This window comes from Homo sapiens, chromosome 5, assembly GCF_000001405.40.
Source record: "Homo sapiens chromosome 5, GRCh38.p14 Primary Assembly".
In the NCBI taxonomy this organism is placed as follows: domain Eukaryota; kingdom Metazoa; phylum Chordata; class Mammalia; order Primates; family Hominidae; genus Homo; species Homo sapiens.
This window is the reverse complement of record NC_000005.10, coordinates 77,544,688-77,567,944: the sequence shown is the minus strand read 5'-3', so window position 1 is coordinate 77,567,944 and position 23,257 is coordinate 77,544,688. Positions and strand designations below refer to the sequence as shown.

General features: G+C 37.1%; 1 protein-coding gene and 1 pseudogene across 3 annotated transcripts in view; one reads left to right on the top strand and one right to left on the bottom strand.

The window, feature by feature from the left end:
• Window positions 1-23,257, top strand: part of WDR41 (WD repeat domain 41) — a 189,645-nt gene that overhangs the window by 52,633 nt on the left and 113,755 nt on the right. Inside the window, exon 2 of one of the 3 annotated variants that reach the window (XM_047417349.1) lies at window positions 13,368-13,441. The exons of the other annotated variants lie outside the window; for them this stretch is intronic. The gene's annotated coding sequence lies outside the window, so the exon portion shown is untranslated. The remainder of the gene's footprint in view (window positions 1-13,367; window positions 13,442-23,257) is intronic. 3 annotated transcript variants of the gene reach the window in all.
• Window positions 21,642-22,574, bottom strand: RPS2P24 (ribosomal protein S2 pseudogene 24; annotated as a pseudogene).

Below are 23,257 nucleotides of genomic sequence, written 5' to 3'. Positions count from 1 at the left end.
TTTCATTCCCTAGGCACTGATTTTCAACATGTGGTCCATGGACCCTTCATACTTGAATCACTATGGTGGGATGAGGCTGGGGTCGGGATGAGACGGGAGGAGTAGGAGGATGAATAAAGGAAGAAGAAGGGCTACTTATTAAAATGCATATACTTGGACCCAAACCTATTAAGTCAGACTCTCTAGAGAAAGATTTGGGGAATGTTCATTTTAAACAGGTTTCTTAGGTGATTCAGAATAGCATTGGTTCCATGTTTTAATTTTTTTTTTTTTTTTTTTTTACTATTTGGTTTAGGGTAATTGTATTGTGTTTACTTCAGTACTTAGTTTGTAGAGATAACATTTATTACTAATTAAAAATAGTTCTGTTGATGCAGTGTTTGTACTACTGCTTGAGAATGAGGGGTTTGCACTAACCCTGTAATGTTGGTATGTACATGGGTCAAGTAACTCTGTGAGGATGGAAGTGGTGCTCTTTTTTCAACCTCAGCATCAGCCAGCCTTCTTGCAAATGTACAGGCAGTAGTTGATCACAGTGAACAAGCCAAGAGTGCAAATCTTTTTCTCTGGTGGCTTAATGACACCTACCCAAGAATGCTAGGAGATGTATAGAAAAAACTAAATGCTGAAATGCAAGCCAGTCACTTATTCTGTTTGTTAGCTAATATAATAAAAGCTCCATTGAGGAAGAGATGGCTTAATACCTTGACTAAAATTAAATTTTTGTATTATCTGTGGATTTCAATTATTCATGCTATTCCAAAACTGCAAAGCATGAAAAATCTAGAGCTACTTATTACCTGTTCTAGTAGAACCTCTAATAAGTATGTGGAAGCCGATATCAGTGTAAATAGAGCAATGGACTCTGTCGCTCTACCTCATTTGTTTTTAGCATTTTAATAGGGCTCAAATTTTCAGTGTGTAGTTCAAGACAAGAAAGTTGGTTCATGTACTACCATATTGGCTCTCCTATGAATGTTGGAACATATTTTTTCCCATTAACATGAACTGATAGAAGTGTCTCATTCCATCACATGGAGTGCCATTTAACTCTAGTGACTTCTGGTGCCCCTCAGATCATGCTGACTGTTAGGAAAACCAGACCCCCAGGCCCAGACATGTGCACAGACTTTGATTGCAGTCAATTCACGCACCCTGAGGCATAGCAGGTCTGTGTGTCCGAAGAAGTGGGCAACATAAAAAACAAGTCACTTATTATCCTGACATAAACAAATTTTGATGTCCACTCTACTTTCAAAAGCATATTCTTTTAATCCCTCTGCCCCCCACCACACAAGCGTGCATATGTATGCACCACACCCTCAAACTCACTGAATAAATAAATCCCTTTCTTTAAAAAATGGCAGCAAAGGCCCAGAAATATTGAAAAGGAAACTCTCTAATGAAATATGTGTCTTGGCTTGCTTTAATAGCCTTCAGAATGGACAGTTTGGGTAAGGGGGAATTTTTATTTGCATCTTTTTTTGTCCTAGAATGGTTTAGGTACTCATCGCTGCAACAAATATGCATAAATTAAGAGTTATCTAAAAGGTTATGTAGTATCAATATAAATAGAGACCCAGGGAGACCTAAACGACATACAGGACAGTGAGTAGAGAACAGTTGCCTTTAACTAAACAAACACATAAAGATTAGTAAATAGTAAAATAGCTTAGTTCTAGGCAGATGAGTTAGATGGCCTCATAAGCCCTTTCTGCTGCTCATGTTCTATGATTCCATGGTGTGTTAGCTAAGACAATAAGCTTTGGAAAGACTGCCCAGGTTTGAATTTCAATGCTTCCTCTTATGAATGGTATTAAGCTCACAAGAGGAAGAACTGAAATTCAAACCAGAGCAGTCTTGACCATAGAGAGGTAAATTATTTCACCTCTCTATGTTTATTTCCTTGTCTAAACAAGGAGTTTTATTTTAAAATCCTCATAGGGTTGTTATGAGAATTAAATGAGTCAATATATATATCTGCTATGCAGTAAGAAGTCAATGGGTTTTAATTAATTACAATAATGTGTTGAATACCTACAATACACCTTCAGATGTTATCAGGAGAAACATGAAAACAAATTTTTGGTTCTTCTTTTCATGACATTTACACTCTGTCTATGGAGAGAAGATTTATAAAAATGTAGTAGGAGAAGTATAAAACAGCATGGTACTGACTTAAATCACAATAGGAGGCAGAGAAGGAAAAAATGTAGAGGGAAGAGTATGGCTAGAGGACACTAGGTAAGAAGGTCAGATGGGGCTCATCTTTGAAGGAAGGAGGAGGTTTATATTGGTGGGTAGATGGGGAAGGAATCTTTGAGTCTTTTCCCTTTTAAATCCCTTATAGTCAATCTATCACCAATTTCTTTCTCTTTAATATGTCATTCAAATCTAAATAGTCCTTTCTACTCTCATTGCCATGATTGCAGTCCAGGGCCTCATGACCTCAAGTTGGAATGATTCAGGGGGCTCCCAGCTCAGGGAAAATGAATGGAGGAATTGACACGAGAATAAGATTAGAAGACTGTCCTTGTCAGACTAAAAATTAGATCTGAAAAAGTAAGGTGGGGCTAGGTTATGGAGACTTTTAGGAATTGGCAAAGGGCATTCAGCTTAACGTGCCTGGCAGTAGGACACCATTAGAAATGCACCATGATAAAATTGGTATTTAAATGCACTGTATGTGTTGAAAGTGGAAAGACTGTAGACATGAAATCAATTGAAATCATGGTTCCAAGTCTAGTTGTGTGTGAGAATCAACTGGAGAGCTTTATCCCCCAAGTCTTCTGATTCAGTAAGCCTGGGGCAGCCTGAGAATCTGTGGTTTTGCAAAATTCCCTCAGGTTATTGTGCTCTGCATCTAGGATATGAGAAGTACTGAGCTGGGAGCCCACTGCCTCATTCCAGGCTTGAGGTCATGAGGCCCTGTAGTACAATCATGGCAATGGGAGTAGAAAGGACTATTTAAATTTGAATGACACATTAAAGAGAGAAAAGAAATTGGTGATAAATTGACTATAGGGGATTTAAAAGGGGAAAATACTCAAAAATTCCTTCTAAGTTTCTACTTTGATAGAAGAAAAGATAGTTTGAAATACATTATGGGACTGTTGAGTTTGAGTATATGGTAGTTCACTTAACAGTGCATATTCTGCAGGTGGGTGGAAGCTGAAGACTGCAGCACAAAGCAAAGGTCAGGACTGGAGATAAGGATTTTAGGGTCACTGGGATAGAGTTGGTGGTTGAAGCCATTAGAGTGGCTATGCTTACCAAGGGGAATATGTACAGAGAGATAAAAGATGAGTGTTAAGAATAGAACCTCATATTATACCTATCTACCATTGCGCAGTAAAAGGATTTCAGCCAGGAAAGGAGACAAAGAAGTTAGGTCATTTAGAACGTGAGATGATTGAACTAGAGGCTTTTGAAAGTTTTACAAGTTGTGACAAAACTATGTTGATCATCTGAACGCTGTCCATGAAGTCTTAATGGGATGTTCCACATGTAAAATATGAATTTATTGTGAAAAAATGCAATTCGTTTAGTTTTTTATATAGACAGAGTCTTAATATGTTGCCTAGGCTGGTCTCAAACTCCTGGCCTCAAGCAATTCTCTTGCCTCCACCACTCAAAGTGTTGAGATTACAGGAATGAGCCGCTGTGTCTGGCCAAGAATGCAATTTGACAGTTAACCTTTCTATCAGTTATTCAGTGGTTCCGGTGCAAGGAGTTGAAATGGCAGAGATGTGAAATAACAACATAAGGATCTGGTAGGTCTCTTTTAGGGGATGGATGAAGTTCCTACAGAACCACCTACTATGTTTGGTGCTGTCTTTATACTTTACATGTATTTATTTAATCTTTACAATTGCCTGAAAAGGTAGGTATTATGCATATTTTATAGATGAGAACATTCACACTCATAGTGATTAAATAACTCACCCAAAGATATATAATGAGGAAGAGGAATAATTGAGATTCTAATCAAGACTTATTCCAAAGCATGTGTTCTTTCAGACAACTTATCAACATTTTTCAACTGACCTACCTAGAATGGCAGAAGAGAATGCATTCACACTCAGGGGGATCAAAAGCAGTCTACTGAAAGTAGGAATTTTTTGAATTCTATATTTTAAAAATTCATGAAAATTTTGCATTCTATTTCTTACTTTATTTTAATATAAAAATAATGTTTTAAATCATTGAAATTCCCCATCCAAGAAGTACCATGTTTCTCCAGTGTCTGCAGTATGTCCTGGCACACTGCCCGGTTCCTCGTGAGAGTACACAGCACTGTATCGTAATTACCTTCTAGTGCCTGGTACATAGTAAGCACTCAGTAATGAGTTGGTGAATTAATGTATGAATCAAAGGGCCATAAAAGCAAGCTGCATGTACCTTTTACTGAGAAGGCAACTTCCCATGGAATGACTTCAAATACTTCAAGACATGGATGAAGTTTATATCCTGTGACTTACACTGTGGTTAGATGAGGCACACTAAGGTTGTTCTATATTGAGAGATCTGAGTATTATGTGTAGGGGAGTGCTGTTTTGGTGGGGTTGGCTGTAGAGGGGTCTTAGATGAGAATTTGGTATAGCATGTGGTCTTGCTGGTGGGAGGCAGATTCAGAGAGAAATCAGAAATTATATATAAAGTGAGACTTCTGAATGTGAGAGGGACCATCGTAACCTGTATGTGGTGATTGAAGTGGAGATTCAGGAAGTCAGCCAGATATTAATGTTAATGATAATATCACCACAAATACTCATAACTTTAAAATTTCATCAACCTGGAGACTGCTACCATGTTGTAGATATGCATTTATCATTCATTCATTCAACAAACATGTATTGAGCGCTAGGGAAGGAGATGTTTGTAAAGATAAAATAGATGCGGTACTTGCTCTTAAGGAATTTACAGTCTATTGCAGGAAATGAGATAAAATGTGTCCCTCATACAAGATAAACAGCAATAACTAAGGAATGCACAAATCAAATATTGTAGAATTTCACGGAAGATCTTACTTCTTGGGAGAATCAGGAATTGCATCTGGAGGGGACAGCATTTGAGCTGAGTCTTAAAGGATAAATAGGATTTGGTCACTTTACAGACGCACTAATAATATGTTTACTAGCCTCTTGGTATGAATTACTCTCACCAAGGCCCAAGTGATTTTAAAAGGCAAAATTTACCTGTATTTGTTTTTGTTTTGCTGCATGTATGGAATACCCTTTAGTAGTCAAGATGCCTAGCCAATATGATGCATAGGCCAAGATGTTATATTTTGTCTCTAAATTCCTCTCTTTCTAGAACAATTATCATGTCATTTTGTGTTAGAAGGAAAAAGTTTGGACATATGCAATTTTCTGTTGAAGACATCATTAAATAACAGAATTTATTAACAACTACAGTTGAAACAAAGGACACATCAACTGATTGTTAGTTCCCTGCCACCAAATGAAGATATATTATCGGTATTTGTGTTAAATATTCCATTTTAACAGTGCAGATACATATTCATTAGCAGGCAGAATAACCTTAGAGTTGGCACTTTGCAAATGCTTCTTATTTTCGCCAAGTCTGTGCAGGTTTTAAAACTTTGTATTACCTTCTACAAGTAATCTCAGAGTCTGTCATTCACATGTAGAAAACTCACCTCTCTATTTAGCCCGTGGTTGGTGAGAGATAGACATTTACAGGGCCCCTCTGCCCTTGAGCTGTTCCATTAGTGCATGGAAAGCACCTTGCAGCCTGTGACAAGCGCAGCAGATCGGCACTAAATCAAAAATCAGTGCCAGCCAGGGATCTAAGCCACCATGAAGGTCACAGCCATCAACTGCATGCCATCTCAATCCAAACAAAACACATTGGATACAGGGGGATTTTCACAACTTACAATAGGTGACAAACATTTCATGTTAGAGTAATCCATAGCAGTGAAACTGGGAACTGACCTTTTAAGTACTTTTGAGTATTTAATCAAACTTTGAAAAAGCTGGAGGTAATTTTTGGAAATATTTTACATTTATAAACAAAATATAACAAAATAAAACCTCTATAGCATATTGTTACTGCAATCAGGATTTTGATGAAAGAATCTTTTTTTGTTTCAAAAGAAAACACATGTGTTTTTAAGATATAAAATCATCAGAAACATTATATAAAAATAGTTTTCATTTGATTTCTTGCTTTGAAAAGTATGTCATTGATTCACTATGAAGTGAACAATTTGTGTTGTAAACTGCCCAGTTTAGCTTATTCTGAGAATTTATAATTAGCATCTATATTAAATAGGAAATATTTGGTCTTAGTCTGACTTTATTTCAAGTTCACTTTCAGCAATCCCATTCAAGTTGAAGTTGCTGAATTTGAGCCTATATATTAATAAGATTTCTGTATTGTCCAATGAAGATTTCTAATAATAGAAACATTATTTAAATGTTGTAGATGCAATTCCCTTTTTACTTCCCACTTAAAAAAAGCAAGGAAAAAAAAGTATCAAAACTAAATAATGAACTCTCTACTTCATGAATTTTGTGAGATTCTGAGAATTAATTATCTAGGTTAATAAGAAGTGTTGGATAGCCAAGCAAAGTAAACTGGATTTTGCTAAATTAACTTGGAAAATTCCTGTGCTTCACAAAATGAAAAACTTATATGCAAAAATTATTTTCATAATTGAACTAGCATAGTAATGTCATCTGATTGAATTATATCACACTGATATGGGAGGAGGGGATGAGGCAAAAGCTTAGATCTACTTTTGATGAAATAACTGACAAGAGGCTAATATTCACTTATACATTATTCCTACTAAAATTAGCTTTTGTGAATGATATTCAACAAAACAATGGATACAGAGAACAATGTAAAAATGAAATACTTGTCAACATCTAATCAGGTTTGGGGCAACCAAGACTATTTTAAGAATATGCCATTTCAGAAACAAATGCTTCAACCCAGCTATCTCTACCGTTGAGTGAATTCATGGTTAATTTACACTAGCTGGTGAAGAAGTTTCATGAAACTGTAAATGCAAAGCAATCCAGCAGGAATGTATGTAATGGAAGAATGCCATCTGCTGGTGAACCCTATCAAATCCATAATTAGGAAAACCTGAGAACACATACCCTGTAGACAAGGAAGATTCAAAGTTTGTGGAAGCATTTTTAATTCTGAGAAATCTGCTTTCATTAAGCTGATGCATACCTTTGATATAAATTATTCATTTTAAATTAACTTGATTACTAATTTCCTGGAATCACTAGTCAGGAAAACCTTGAAAAGAAATCGGCGCAAAGGACTTTTTTTTTCTTTTTGCCAATTTACAAAGTTTTTATATTCATCATTCATCAGTAGTCAGCCAGCGAGTCTGTTCTATTTAAAAACTCTGGCTTTTCATTTAATGCATCCCATCTGTTTCTGAAATAAATTGCAATAATCCGTGTTTAATTTTAATCAATGTATTACTAAATATGCAAATTATATTAAAAGCCATGGTTTGAAAAAGCTTTCATTTGTAAATATGGTAGCTTAAAACAGGAAGCATATCTAAAAGCCATTTAGCTACAGTAGCCTAACTCTAACACTGTAGCTGATTTATAAAGCAGATCACAAGTTGATCTTTCTCCCACAAGGGGATATGTAAAACTGTTGCATATCAGATTTTGTTAACATCTGATGGGCTAGTGCTTATGGTATAAGAGACTCATACTTCAGCAACCATGTCTTTTACATTTAAATTAAGGTAATCTTATTCCATTCTACATCTTTCTAATTTTTTTATACAACCTAACAGATGAATTTGTGTGATTGGTTTATGAATCACAGTTAAAGCAATTTGAGCAAGCCTTTCAATCAATCTTAAAATTTTAGTGTCTAATTTACTTGTGATTTGCATAATTAATTGTGGAAGGGATCCTTTGGGAGTCTCCCTTTTCCCCCTTTTTCCTTTCCTACCTTGTGTCTCACACACTGACTAGATAGATTGGGAATGATACTGGAGTTCTTTTAGGCCTGCTAGATGACTTTGTTAGGAATCCAGAAATTATGTGTTGCTTTGTTCTCTCTGATCTGGCTGGACCAAGAGGTAATTCTGAAAATTAGGTCTGTTATCTGCAAAACAATTCAGTAGCATGGCTGTGATTGAATTGTGTATACAGTTTACCAAGCAATTACCTTAAAGGAGGATTTCAGGACTCTTTCCTATATAAAGGTCATGAGTATGTAGGAATACACACACACACACATAACATTATATATAAAGTTTTATATATAACATTAGATATAATGAAAATATATATTATATATAATGCTGACATATAACAAATTATAGATATGTTATGTATACATCAACATTATATTTATATAACAACATTATATAAAAATCATGTCCATATATTGAATTCTGTCATCTACTAATTGTTGTACTGGATTGGGTAGTACATTACCACCAGTACGGTCTAATTAGTGCCTTGCTAAAGCAGCTTCAAGAATTTTGCCAGCCTGTTGTTAAACACAGTAATTATTAACAATCAAATTATATAAACTTGTAATTTAAAATTTATATTAATGTAATAACTGCTCAAAAACATCACTTTCTAATTATGGTGCTGCATTTTAACATCTATACTCTTAAGATTATTTACATCTATCTTTTGTATCTGTGTGGTACATTTCTCCCCAACTCGACATTTAGTGATATCAAATTGGTAGCTTGAAATTGGCCACAGTGGGAGTGTTTACATGACAGAAATTGGCAAATGCTACAAATCAAGTCAAGGCTATTTCCCTCTCTATATAGCTGGTTGTTAACTATTTACCAGCGTACCACTGTCTTTAATACACACAGAGCAACTCAATACATGTGTCTGTTATTTATTCTTGAGCTCTCCTAAAAGAGTAATAACAGCTTTCATAGACCCTTTTACAAGAAGTGAAATGTATATTTGATTCCCTAAGGAATCTTAGCCCACAATTTCTTGTTAAGCTTTAAAAATTAAGGTTTTTTTCCCTTAGTGTAATAGATAATTTGGAAAATACAGAAAAAAAATATTTTTTCAATGACTTTATTATTTTGAAAGGATGAAAGTAATCACATATTCATAATTTTCTAAACAATTCATGTCTTGCATATTGGTTTATCAGACAACTTATTGCTGAGTTTAAGAGACTGCCAAACAATGCTAAGATTAGAAAGTGCTGGAAAATTAGTTTGTGGAATGAACTCACTGCAATAACATAAATAGTAGAAACATGTCAAGGACCATGTTTGTTAGAAATAAACTTATTTCTCTATGCAGAAGACTTATTAATCATATCTCAGGATGTTTAATAGCGTAAACAAATGGAAAACTTCAGCTTGTGATCCAAGGTCGTTTTCAAATTGGAAATGACCTCAGCCTGCCCCAAGAGGGCTAATGATGTAAAAATAAGTAGGGCCCAGTCCTCTGGGGAATTCGGTGCAGGTCAGCGAGGCTCTTTTGGTGAATGCGGCAATCTGCTCTGCCTCCATAGGCCTTTGTGTAGCCAGACTCCCTGGGAAAGGTGGGCTGTCTGCTGTTGCCTGGCACATATGTAAGAATATTCTTTTTCAATTTCCTTTTCTATTTTTCTTAGATTTTTACTCATGCACAAGGAAAAGCTCATAAGACACTAAAAATGTCACAATGGTAAATTTTCCTTTCCTAAACAGAAAGAGAATTCAAGAGCAATGATTTTTCTTTATACAAATTGTTTTTTAAAGTTAAATATTAATTTAAAATATATTAACATTTGAAGAATCGCATTTTAACGATTACCTACATACCTACTCCTGTTTTGTTTTTTTTTTTTTTTTTTTTTTAAAAAGAACATTTGAAGTTCCCTATGTGTTCATTTCTTCCCTCCCTACTTAAAGGTAATCATTACACTGACGTGGGGTTTTTATTTGCTTGTTCTTACTCACTGCATTGCCACATTTTTTCTTCTAAACAATATGTTGTTTAATTTTGCATGTTTTTGGCCTTTATATAAAGATAATCATACCGTATACATTCTTTTGTAACTTCATTGCTTCTACTATAAGTCATTACTTTTAACTCTCACCTAATAGTCCATTGTATGAATATGCCACAGTTTATTCATTCTACTGTTGGTAAACATTTGGGCTGTTTTCATTGTTCTCTATTATGAATAGTGTCACTATACTCTGAGTATTACTACACATGTATTTTGGTGTATATGTGCAAGAGTTTCTGTAGGTACGTGCCTAGGAGTGGAATTGCATGCCTTCAAATCCACTAAGCAATTAATGCCAGACTGCTTTTTCAAAGCGACTATACTGATTCCTACTGCCATGAGAAGTGTACAAGTGTTCTAGTGGCTCACGCTAACATTTAATATTGTCAGAATTTTTAATTTTTGCAAGCTTTACAGATGTGAAATGTCATCTTACTGTGAGCATCTTTTATCTTTTTATACTTTTGGTTACTTCTGCCACCTCTTTGTGAAATGCTTGCTCAAGTCTTCTGTCCATTCTCTATTGGATTGTGTGTGTTTCTCTGGTGACTTATAGTAGGTCTTTGTATATTCTGGGTACAATTTTGGGGGCTCATTTTTAGGGTGTAACAAATCACTTCTCCCAGAGTGTGGTTTACTTATTTATTCTCTTAATGGTTTTTTGTTTTGTTTTGCTTTTAAACAGAAGTTTTTAACTTTAATATACTAGAGTTAAATTTATCACTTTTTCTTTATGGTTAGTACTTTCTGTGCTATGTCTAGTAAATCTTTCACTACCTTGAGATCATAAAGATATTCTTCAATTTTGTCTTTTAAAAGTTTCATACTTTTGCTTTTAATATAACTCCTAATCCACAAGGAATTTTTTGTTTATGTGTGTAAAAGGGATCTGTAATAAATAATCTAATTCCATTTTTGATGTTTGACTACCAACAGCTTTCAGGCTCCACCCCTCCCCCTTTCCCTCTTGCCCAGCATCTGGCAAAGCTGATTAGAAACCCCAGGTGCCCCCTCCCTTGGTGCCAAGGAGAAGTTCAAATCATCCCTCATACTGGCCCTATCACTGACCACATTAAAAATCAAAGACCCTTTTCTCTCCCTCCCTCAAGCCATTTAGAACTGGCTTGGATGCCTGTCCTGTTCTGACCAGAAAGCCTCATTGTGTGTAATAAACTTTTAAAATACCTTCTTGTTGTAAATGTGGTATCAACAATCTTGATATCTGAACCAGTTTTGGATGGGGGCATTGAGCTCACCTTTCATGGGGCAACCACAAAAATAAGACCCAATTTCACTTTTTTCCCCACATGAATAACCAGCTGTCTTAGTGATATTAAATTTAAAACTCCACAAACAATACAGAAATTAGCTGGGTGTGGTGGCGCGTGCCTGTAATCCCAGCTACTTGGGGGCTACACGTAGGAGAATTGCTTGAACCCAGGAGGCAGAGGTTGCAATGAGCCGACATCATGCCACTGCACTCTGGCCTGCGCAGTAGAGCGAGACTCCACCTCAAAACAAACAAACAGTCAGTCAGTCGGGTGCAACGGCTCACGCCTGTAATCCCAGCGCTTTGGGAGGCCAAGGTGGGTGGATTACTTGAGGTCAGGAGTTCTAGACCAGCCTAGCCAACATGGTGAAACCCCATGTCTACTAAAAATACAAAAATTAGCTGGGCGTGGTGGCATGGGCCTATAATCCCAGCTATTTCGGCAGGCTGAGGCAGGAGAATTGCTTGAACCCGGGAGTCGGAGGTTGCAGCGGGCCGAGATCGCACCACTGCACTTCAGCCTGGCAACAGAGAGAGACTCCATCTCAAAAAAAAAAAAAAAAAAAAAAAAAAAGTCCATCTTTTCCCCACCACCTTTGTCAAAAATCAAACCTGTTTCTGGGTTCTGGGTTCTCTGTTTTCAACTGTTGGTTATTTTTGCTATTTCTGTGCAAATGCCACTGTGTTAATTGCTCCAGCTTTATAAAACACCTGATATCTGGTAAGGCAAGTCTCTTCCTTCTGTTTTTCTTCTTCAGTAGTGTTTAATTCTTGGCTCTTTTCTTTCCATATGAATTTTAGAATCAGCTTGTTAGTTTCCACAAAGAAACCTTGTTAGGATTTTGATTGAAATAGTATTGAATCTTTACATCTTTATGAATTTGTCTTCCAATCCATGAGGATAAGATTTATACTTCATTTATTTAGTCTTTTTATCTCTTTCAATAAAATTTTATAATTTCTTCATAAGGATCTTACCCATTGTTTGTTAGATTCATTTCTAGGCACTTTATATTTTCGGATGCTGTTGTAATTAATGTCTTTTTTAAAGATAATTACAGGCTAGGCGGGGTGGCTCACACCTGTAATCCCAGCACTTTGGGAGGCTGAGGCAGGAGGATCTCTTGAGCTCAGGAGTTCAGGACCAGCCTGGACAACATAGCGAGACCTTGCCTCTGCTAAAAACCAAAACAATTAGCTGGGTGTGGTGGTGTGCACCTGTAGTCCCAGCTTCTTGGGAGACTGAGGTGGGAGGCTCACTTGAGCCAAGGAAGTTGAGGCTGCAGTGAGCCGTGATCATGCCACTGCCCTTCAGCCTGTGTGACAAAGTGATACCCTGTCTTAATAAATAAATGAATTAAATAAAAGATAATTGTAGAGTAATATGCAGTTTAAGATACAACGCAGAAAGATCCTTTGTACACTTTGCCCAGTTTCCTCCAACGGTAACATTTTTGAAAATAATAGCATAGTATTACAACCAGAAAATTAATACAATTCACTGATTTTATTTAGATTTTTCCAATTTGAATTGTACGAGTGTGTGTGTTAAGTTCTATATACTTGTATTTTTTTTTTTTTTTGAAACAGGGTCTTGTTGTCTCACCCAAGCTGGAATGCAGTGGTACAATCAGGTACAGCCTCCACCTTCTGGGATCAATGAATCCTCCCACCTCAGCTTCTTGAGTAGCTGGGGCTACAGGTGTATGCCACTGTGCCCAGTTAATTTTTGTATATTTTGTAGGTTGGTCTCGAATTCCTGGGCTCAAGTGATCCACCCACCTCAGCCTCCCAAAGTGCTGGGATTGCAGGCATGAGCCACCCCACCCGGCCTCTAGGCACTTTTATCAGCTATGTAGATTCTTGTATCCACTACCACTGTTCAAGATACTAAACAGTTCCAGCACAACAAGGATCCTTCCTGTTGCTCTTTATAACTACACCACTGTCTTAGTCCATTTGTGTTGCTATAACAAAATACTATAAACTCATAAACAACAGAAATTATACTAAATAAGTTATAAATTATACTATATATTATAAATTATAAAAAATTTATATTATATAATAATAACAAATTTATTTCTGATAGTTCTGGAGGCTGGGAAGTCCGAGATCAATACATCAGCAGATTCAGTTTCTGGAGAGGGCCTGTCTCCTAGAAAGGTACTTTGTAGTTGTGTCCTCACATGGTGGGAAGGGTGAGCTAGCTCTCTGGGATCTCTTCTACAAGAGCACTAATCCTATTCACGAGGGCTCTACCATTATGACCTAATCACCTCCCAAAGGTCCCACTTTCTAATACCATCTCACTGGTGATTAGATTTTAACGTAAGAATTTCAGGGGGACAGAAACATTCAGACCAGAACAACTACTTCCCTACCTCCCCTCACCAATCTCTACCATCTGGCAACCACTAATCGATCCTCCATTTCTAAAATTTGGCACTCCCCAAATTTTATATGCATGGAATAATGTAGTGTGTAACTTTTGGGGATTATAAAACACTATATCATTGTACTCAGCAGAATTCCCTAGAGACATCCAAGTCATATGTATCAACCGACTATTTATTTTTATTGCTTAGTAGAATTCCATGTTGTGCATATACCACAATTTCTTTAACCATCTGTTGACTTCCAGTTTTTAGCAATAACAAATAAAGCTGCTATAACCATTAATTATTTGGGTTTTTATGTTAAAATAACTTTCATTCCTCTGGCATAAATGTCCAGAAGTGCAATTATTGGGTTGTATGGTAGTTGCAAGTTTAACATTTTAAACAACTGTTAAACTCTTTTCCAGAGTGGCTTACCATTTTACATTCCCACCAGTAATGTATGAGTGAACCAGTTTCTCTGCATCCTTGCCAGCATTTGGTGGTGTTATTTTTTAAAATCTTAGTCATGTTGATATGTGTGTAGTGGTATCTCATTGTAGTTTTAATTTAAAGTTTCCTAACAGCTTATGATATTGAATATCTTTTCATGTGCTTATTTTTATCATCTTTGGTAAATGTCTGTTTATGTCTTTTGTTCATTTAATAGATTTTTTTAATGTTGAGTTTTGAGAGTTCTTTACATATTCTAGAATTTAAAATGTGTAAGTTCTTTGCTAGATATTTGGTGCTATGATTTGAAAGATGGCATTCCCTCCAAAATTCATGTGTTGAAACTTAATCCCCATTATGATGGTATTGAGAGGTGGGGTCTTTTGGGGAAGTGATTAAATCAGGGGGATTCTGCTCTCATGAATGAATTGGTGCCTAGCTGGAGGGAACTAGCTTAGGCCCTTTTTGCCCTTTACATCCCTTCAGCTATTTGAGAACACAGCATTTGTCCCCTCAAGAGGATGCAGCAACAGGGCTCCATCTTGGTTGAAAGTGGAGATGGGGGCCTCACCAGATACCAAATGCTGGTGATTAAATCTTGGACTTCCCATCCTCCAGAGCTGTGAAAAATAAATGTCTGTTCTTTATAAATTACCCAGTTTGAGGTATTTTGTTATAGCAGCAAAAAAGGACTAAGGCATATGACTTGCAAATATTTTCTCCTGAGTGTGTAGTTTTCCTTTTCATCCTCTTTATATGGCTTTCACAGAACAAACATTTCTAATTTCAGGGAGGTCCAATTCATCAGTTTTTCTTTTTATGGATCATGCAGTTGGTGTCAAGTCTGGCAACTACTGGCTTAGCGCCAGATCCTGACAACTTTCTTCCATGTGTTTTGCTGAAAGTCTTATAGGTTTGTTTTACATTTAAGCCTGTGATCCAATTTAAGCTCATTTTTTATATAAAGCATGAAATTTAGATCTAGGGTTTTTTTCCCCATATGGATATGCAATTGTTCCAGCATCATTTGTTGAAAAGGTTATTCCTCCTCCTTTAAATTGGTTTTGCACCTTTGTCAAGTCAGTGTGGCAGACTGTGTGAATCTATTTCTGGGTATCCTGTGCTGCTCCGTTGATTCATGTGTCTACCCCTCTGCCCACACCACACTCTCTTGATTACAGTAATTATATAGCCAGGCTTAATATGGGTAGAGTAGTTTCTCCCATTTCTTTGTCTTTCTTCTCTATCAAGATTGCTCTAGCTATTCAGGGCCTGTGCCTTTTCATATATATTTTAGCATAAGCTTGCCTCGGTCTATGAAAAAAATATTGCTGGGATTTTGATAGGAGTTACACTAAACTATAGACCAATTTGGGGAGAATTGACAGCATTACTAAACTGAGTCTTCCAGTTCATAAACATGATATATCTCTTCATTTATTTAAGTCTTCTTTGACTTTCACAAAATCAGCATTTTGTAATTTGTAGCATATAGATCTTGCACATGTTAAGTAAATGCATAAGTATTTCATTTTCCTTGGAGTTATTGTAAATTGCCCTGTGTTTTTAATGTCAGCTTCCGCATGTTCACTGTTACTATAATTGATTTTTATGTGTCTTTATATTTATTTAAATTACTAATATATTTAGATTTATTTTGACAATTTTATTTAGTGGTTTGTATTTGCCCTACCTTTTCTATGGTCTTTCTTGTCCTCCCCTGCATCAATTGCATTTTTTTTCTCATTCAATTTTTCCCCTACTAGTTAGGAGATTTTATTTTATTTTATTTTATTTTATTTTATTTTATTTTATTTTATTTTATTTTATTTTATTTTATTTTATTTTATTTTATTTTTTGAGACAGAGTCTTGCTCTGTTGCCCAGGCTGGAGTGCAGTGGCACGATCTCGGCTCGCTGCAACCTCCGCCTCCCTAGTTCAAGCGATTCTCATGCCTCTAGCCTCCCAAGTAGCTGGGATTACAGGCTCGTGCCACCACACCCAGTTAGTTTTTGTATTTTTAGTAGAGAAGGGGTTTCACCATGTTGGCCAGGCTGGTCTCAAACTCCTGACCTCAGGTGATCCACCCACCTCGGCCTCCCAAAGTGCTGGTACTACAGTCAACAGCCACCTCGCCCAGGCTTTATTTTTTTATTTTTTGAGTCAGAGTCTCACTCTGTCACCCAGGCTGGAGTGCAGTGGTGCAATCTCAGCTCACTTCAGCCTCTACCTCCTGGGTTCAAGCAATTCTCATTCCTCAGCCTCCCAAGTAGCTGGGATTACAGGTGAGCACCACCACACCAGGCTAATTCTTGTGTTTTTAGTAGCGACAGGGTTTCGCTATGTTGGCCGGGCTGGCCTCAAACTCCTGACCTCAGGTGATCTTCCTGCCTCAGCCTCCCAAAGTGCTGGGATTACAGGCATGAGCCACCACACCCAGCTAGTAAGGAAATTTTATGCTATATTATTTTTACTTTGTTAGTCATTCTAAAATTAGCTTTTGAATATCATTTATCAAAATCTAACATGAATTAATATTTTTGCCCCCTTCTTAAACATACAAAATCCTTAGGACATTTTATTTTATTTTATTCTTTCTTTCTGAAATTTTATTTTATAATTTCAGATTTTATTTTCAATTCACAGGGTACTGTGCAGGATTGTTACGTGAGTACATAGCATGATGCTGAGGTTTCGGGTACAAATGATCCTGTCACCCAGGTAGTGAGCCTAGTACTCAATAGCCTAGTACTTTTCAGCCCTTACTCCCCTCTCTCTCTCCTTCCTCTAGGAGGCCCCAGTGTCTATTGTTCCCGTTTTTATGTCATGTTTACCCAATGCTTAGCTCCCACTTATAAGTGAGAACCTGTGGTATTTGGTTTTCTGTTCCTGCATTAATTTGCTTAGGTAAGGACATGACTTTATTCCTTTATATGGCTGCATAGTATTCCATGGTATACATGTACTATATTTTCTTTATGCAGGCCAACATTGATGGGCATCTAGATTGACTCCATGTCTTTGCTATTATGAGTAGTGCTGTGATGAACATATGAGTACATGTGTCTTTTTGGTAGAATGATTTATTTGTCTTTGGTTATAATTCAGTAATGGGATTTCTGGGTCAAATGGCAGTTCTGTTTTCAGTTTTATGTGAAATCTCCAAACTGCATTCCACAGTGATTAAACTAATTCGTACATTCCCACCAACAGTGTATAAGCATTCTCTTTTCTCCACAGGCTTGCCAGCATCTGTTATTTTTGGCTTTTTAACAATAGCCATTTTGACTAGTGTCAGATGGTATCTCATCATGGATTTGATTTGCATTTCTCTGTTGAGCATTTTCCCATTATGTTTGTTGGCCACTTTTTTGTCTTCTTTTGGGAAGTGTCTGTTCATGTCTTTTGCCTATCTTTTAAAGGGAATGTTTGGTTTTTTGCTGGTTGAATTGTTGAAGTTACTTATGGATTCTGGATATTAGACCTTTGTTGGATGAATAGTTTGCAAATATTTTCTCCCATTTTGTAAGTTGTCTATTAAATCTGTTGATCATTTTTTTTGCTGTGCCGAAACTATTTAGTTTAATGAGATCACACTTGTCAATTTTTGTTTATGCTGCAATTACTTTTGAGAATTTAGTCACAAATTCTTTCCCAAGGCCAATGTCCAGAATGGTATTTCCTGGGTTTTCTTTGAGGATTCTTATAGTTTGAGGTCTTAGATTTCAATCTTTAATCCACCTTGAGTTAATTTTTATATATGGTGAAATGTCGAGGTCCTTTTTTTTTCTTCTGGTTATGGCTAGCCAGCTATCTCAGCACCATTTGCTGAATACAGTCCTTTATCCATTGTTTATTTTTGTCAACTTTTTTGAATATCAGATGGTTGCAGGTGTGCAGCTTTATTTCTGGGTTTTCTATTCTGTTTCATTGGTCTATGTGTCTGTTTTTGTACTAGTACCATGCTGTTTTGGTTACTGTAGCCTTATAGAATAATTTGAAGTTGGGTAATGTGATGCCTCCTGCTTCACTCTTTTTGCTTAGGATTGCTATGGATATTTAATTTCAGAAGTTTTTTCTAATTCTGTGAAAAATGACATTGGTAGCTTGATAGGAATAGTGTTGAATTTATAGATTGCTTTGGGCTATGTCCATTTTAATAATATTGATTCTTCCAATCCATGAGCATAGAATGTTTTTTCATTTGTTCGTGTTGTCTATGATTTCTTTCAGCAGCATTTTGTAGTTCTCCTCATAGAGATCTTTCACCTCCTTAACTAGATGTGTACCTAGGTTTGTTTTTTTGGGGGTGTTTTTTTTGGAGCGGCTATTGTAAAATGAGATTATGTTCTTGATTTGGCTCTCAGCTTGAATGCTATTGTTGTATAGAAATGTTACTGATTTGTGTACATTGATTTTGTGTCCTGAAACTTTCCCGGAGGTCATTTATCAGTTTTAGGAGCCTTTTGATAGAGTCTTTAGGGTTTTCTAGGTATATAATCATATCATCAGTGAAGAAAGATAATTTGACTCATTATTTTTCTTTTGTTTTAAATTTCCATAGGTTATTGGGGAACAGGTAATATTTGTTACATGAGTAAGCTCTTTAGTGGTGATTTGTGAGATTTTGGTGCACCCATCACCCAGGCAGTATACACTGCACCCTATTTGTAGTCTTTTATCCTTCACCCCCTTTCCCCCTTTCCCCCTGAGTCCCCAAAGTCCATTGTGTCATTCTTATTCCTTTGCATCCTCATAGCTTAGCTCCCACTATAAGCGAGAACATACGATGTTTGGTTTTCCATTCCTGAGTTACTTCACTTAGAATAATAGTCTCCAATCTCATCCAGAACACTGCAAATGCCATTAATTCATTCCTTTTTATGGCTGAGTAGTATTCCATCGTATATATACATATACCACAGTTTTTTTTATCCACTCATTGACTGATGGGCATTTGGGTTGGTTCCATGATTTTGCAATTGTGAGTTGTGCTGCTATAGACATGCATGTGCAAGTATCTTTTCCATATAATGACTTCTTTTCCTCTAGATAGATACCCAGCAGTGGGATTGCTGGATCAAATGGTAGTTCTACTTTTAGTTCTTTAAGGAATCTCCACACTGTTTTCTATAGTGGTTGTACTAGTTTACATTCCCACCAGCAGCATAGAAATGTTCCCTGTTCACAGCATCCATGCCAACATCTACTATTTTTTGATTCTTTGATTATGGCCATTCTAGCAGAAGTAAGATGGTATCACATTGTGGTTTTGATTTGCATTTCCCTGATCATTAGTGATGTCAAGCATTTTTTCACATGTTTGTTGGCCATTTGTATATCTTCTTTTGAGAATTGTCTATTCATGTCCTTAGCTCACTTTTTGATGAGATTGTTTTTTTCTTATTGATTTGTTGAATTCATTGTAGATTCTGGATATTAGTCCTTTGTCAGATGTATAGATTGTGAAGATTTCTTCCCACTCTGTGGGTTGTCTGTTTACTCTGCTGACTGTTCCTTTTGCTGTGCAAAAGCTATTTAGTTTAATTAAGTCCCAGCTATTTATCTTTGTTTTTATTGCATTTGCTTTTGGGTTCTTGGTCATGAAATCCTTGGCTAAGCCAATGTCTAGAAGAGTTTTTCCAATGTTATCTTCTAGAATTTTTATAGTTTCAGGTCTTAGATTTAAGTACTTAATCCATCTTGAGTTATTTTTGTATAAGGTGAGATATGAGGATCCAGTTTCATTTTCCTATGTGTGGCTTGCCAATTATCCCAGCATCATTTGTTGAAAAGGGTGTCCTTTCCCCACTTTATGTTTTTGTTTGCTTTGTTGAAGATCAGTTGGCTGTAAGTATTTGGGTTTATTTCTGGGTTCTCTATTCTGTTCCGTTGGTCTATATGCCTATTTTTATACCAGTACCATGCTGTTTTGGTGACTATGGCCTTATAGTATAGTTTGAAATCAGGTAATGTGATGTCTCCAGATTTGTTCTTTTTGCTTAGCCTTGCTTTGGCCATGAGGCCTCTCTTTTGGTTCCATATGAATTTTAGAATTATTTTTTCTAATTCTGTGAGGAATAATAGTGGTATTTTGATGGGAATTGCACTGAATTTGTAGATTGCTTTTGGCAGTGTGGTCATTTTCACAATATTGATTCTACACATCCATGAGCATGGACTGTGTTTCCATTTGTTTGTGGCATCTATGTTTTCTTTCAGCAGTGTTTTGTAATTTTCCTTGTAGAGATCTTTCACCTCCGTGATTAGGTATATTCCTAAGTTTATTTTTTGTTTGTTTTTTTTTTTTGTAGCTACTGTAAAAGGGGTTGAGTTCCTGATTTGATTCTCAGCTTGGTCACCGTTGGTGTATAGAAGAGCTACTGATTTGTGTACAGTAATTTGTATCCAGAAACTTTGCTGAATTCTTTTATCAGTTCTAGGAGCTTTCTGGAGGAGTCTTTAGGGTTTTCTAGATAAATGGTCATATCATCAGCAAACAGTGATAGCTTGACTTCCTCTTTACTGATTTGGATGCCCTTTATTTTTTCTCTTGTCTGATTGCTCTACCTAGGACTTCCAGTACTATGATGAAGAAGAGTAGTGAGAGTGGGCATCCCTGTCTTGTTCCAGTTCTCAGAGGGAATGCTTTCAACTTTTCCCCATTCAGTATTATTTTGGCTGCCGGTTTGTCATAGATGACTTTTATTATATTGAGGTATGATCCTTGTATGCTGATTTTGCTGAGAGTTTTAATCATAAAGGGATGCTGATTTTGTTGAATACTTTTTCTGCATCTATTGAGATGATCATGTGATTTTTGTTTTTAATTCTGTTTATGTGATGTATCACATATATTGACTTGTGTATGTTAAACCATCCCTGCATCATTGGTATGAAACCCATTTGATCATGGTGGATTATCTTTTTGATATTTTGTTGGATTCGGTTAGCTAGTATTTTGTTAAGGATTTTAGCATCATGTGCATCAGGGCTATTGGTCTGTAGTTTTCACTTTTGGTTATGTCCTTTCCTGGTTTTGGTATTAGGGTGATACTGGCTTCATGGAATGATTTAGGGAGGGGTCCCTCTTTCTCTATCTTGTGGAATAGTGTCAATAGGATTGGTACCAATTCTTCTTTGAACCTCTGGTAGAATTCTGCTGTGAATCCGTCTGGTCCTGGACTTCTTTGTTGGTAATTTTTAAATTACCATTTCAATCTCACTGCTTGTTATTGGTCTGTTCAGGGTATCTAATTCTTCCTGATTTAAATTAAGCTAAGAGGGTTGTATCTTTCCAACAATTTATCCATCTCTTCTAGGTTTTCTAGTTTATGTGTGTAAAGGTGTTCATAGCAGCCTTGAGTCATCTTTTGTATTTCTGTGGTGTCAGTTGTAATATCTCCCATTTCATTTCTTACTGAGCTTATTTGGATTTTTGCTCTTCTTTTCTTGGTTAATCTTGCTAATGGTCCATCGATTTTATTTATCATTTCAAAGAACCAGCTTTTTGTTTGATTTATCTTTTTTTTTTCAAGCTTCATTCACTTTATTTTTCTTGTATAAAAACTCTATGTTGTAGCCACAGCTGGAGCCTGGGTCCTTTGCACGGAGACTCTAGAGTGGGTCTTGACGAGGTGGTCAGTGAATTACTTATAGGGAGACTTGGTGAATACAGTCTCCTTCCAGAGGTCGGAGGTCAAGTAGCTGTAGGTCTGAGATGGCATCAAAGGTGGCCTTGCCGAAGTTGCCCAGGGTGGCAGTGCAGCCCCTGGCTGAGGTGTAGCAGTCATCAATACCAGCCATCATCAGCAGCTTCTTGGGCACAGGGGCCGAGATGATGCCAGTGCTCCTGGGCACAGGGATGAGGTCACCAGCACGGAGCCACAGCGGCCTGTCACCTTGCAAGGGATGGCATGGGGCTTTCCAATCTTGTTCCCCCAGTAGCCTCTGTCCCCCAGTAGCACAGGGACAATGGACTGCTTGGCCAGGATCATGGCCCCACGGATGGCAGTGGCCACCTCCTTGGAGCACTTAACACCCAGACCGACGTGGCCATTGTAGTCCCCAATGTAGTCAAGGCAACAAACGCCTTGAACCTGGTGCACTGGCCAGCGTGGGTCTGCTTCTGCACTGGCGTAACCTTTAAAACCTCATCCTTGAGAGAGGCCCCCAGGAAAAAGTCAATGATCTCAGACTCCTTGATGGGCAGGGAGAAGAGATAGATCTCCAGGGATTTCATCTTCATGTCCTTGACCAGACGGCCCAGCTTGGTGATGGGCATCCAACTCCTTGTCCTCAACTTGCCTCCGCAAGCTCCGTGGCTGCGACCCTGGCCCTGGATGCCACTGCCGAAGCCTCCCCGGAAGCCACTGTGGTTCCCCATCCCAGGGCCCTTGGGGCCTCCGGCCCGACCTGTCCCCGTGCTGCACTGGCATCATCGTCACTCGGTGTTTTCTTGAAGAAGCTGACTTGTCTTTTGTATTTTTGTTTGTTTTTTTCGATTTCATTTAGTTCTGCTTTGATCTTGGTTATTTCCTTTCTTTTGCTGGGTTTGGGTTTGGTTTTTTCTTGTTTCTCTAGTTCCTTGAGGTGCGACCTTAGATTGTTTGTGCTCTTTCAGACTTTTTGATGTAGGCATTTAGGGCTAGGAACTTTCCTCTTAGCACTGCCTTTGCTGTGTCCCAGAGGTTTTGATAGGTTGTGTCACTATTGTTCAGTCTGAAGAACATTTTAATTTCCATTTTGATTTCATTTTTCACCCAATGATCATTCAGGAGCAGGTTATTTAATTTCCATGTATTTGCATGGTTTTGAAGGTACTTTTTGGAGTTGATTTCCAGTTTTATTCCACTGTGGTCTGAGAGAGTGCTTGTTACAATTTCGATTTTCTTAAATCTATTGAGGCTCATTTTGTGGCCTATCATATGGTGTATCCTGGAGAAAGTTCCATGCGCTATTGAATAGAATGTATATTCTGCGGTTGTTGGATGGAATGTTCTGTATATATCTATTAAGTCAATTTGTTCCAAGGTATAGTTTAAATCCATTGTTTCTTTGTAGACTTTCTCTCTTGATGACCTGTCTAGGGCTGTCAGTGGAGTACTGAAGTCTCCCACTATTATTGTGTTGCTGTCTATCTCATTTCTT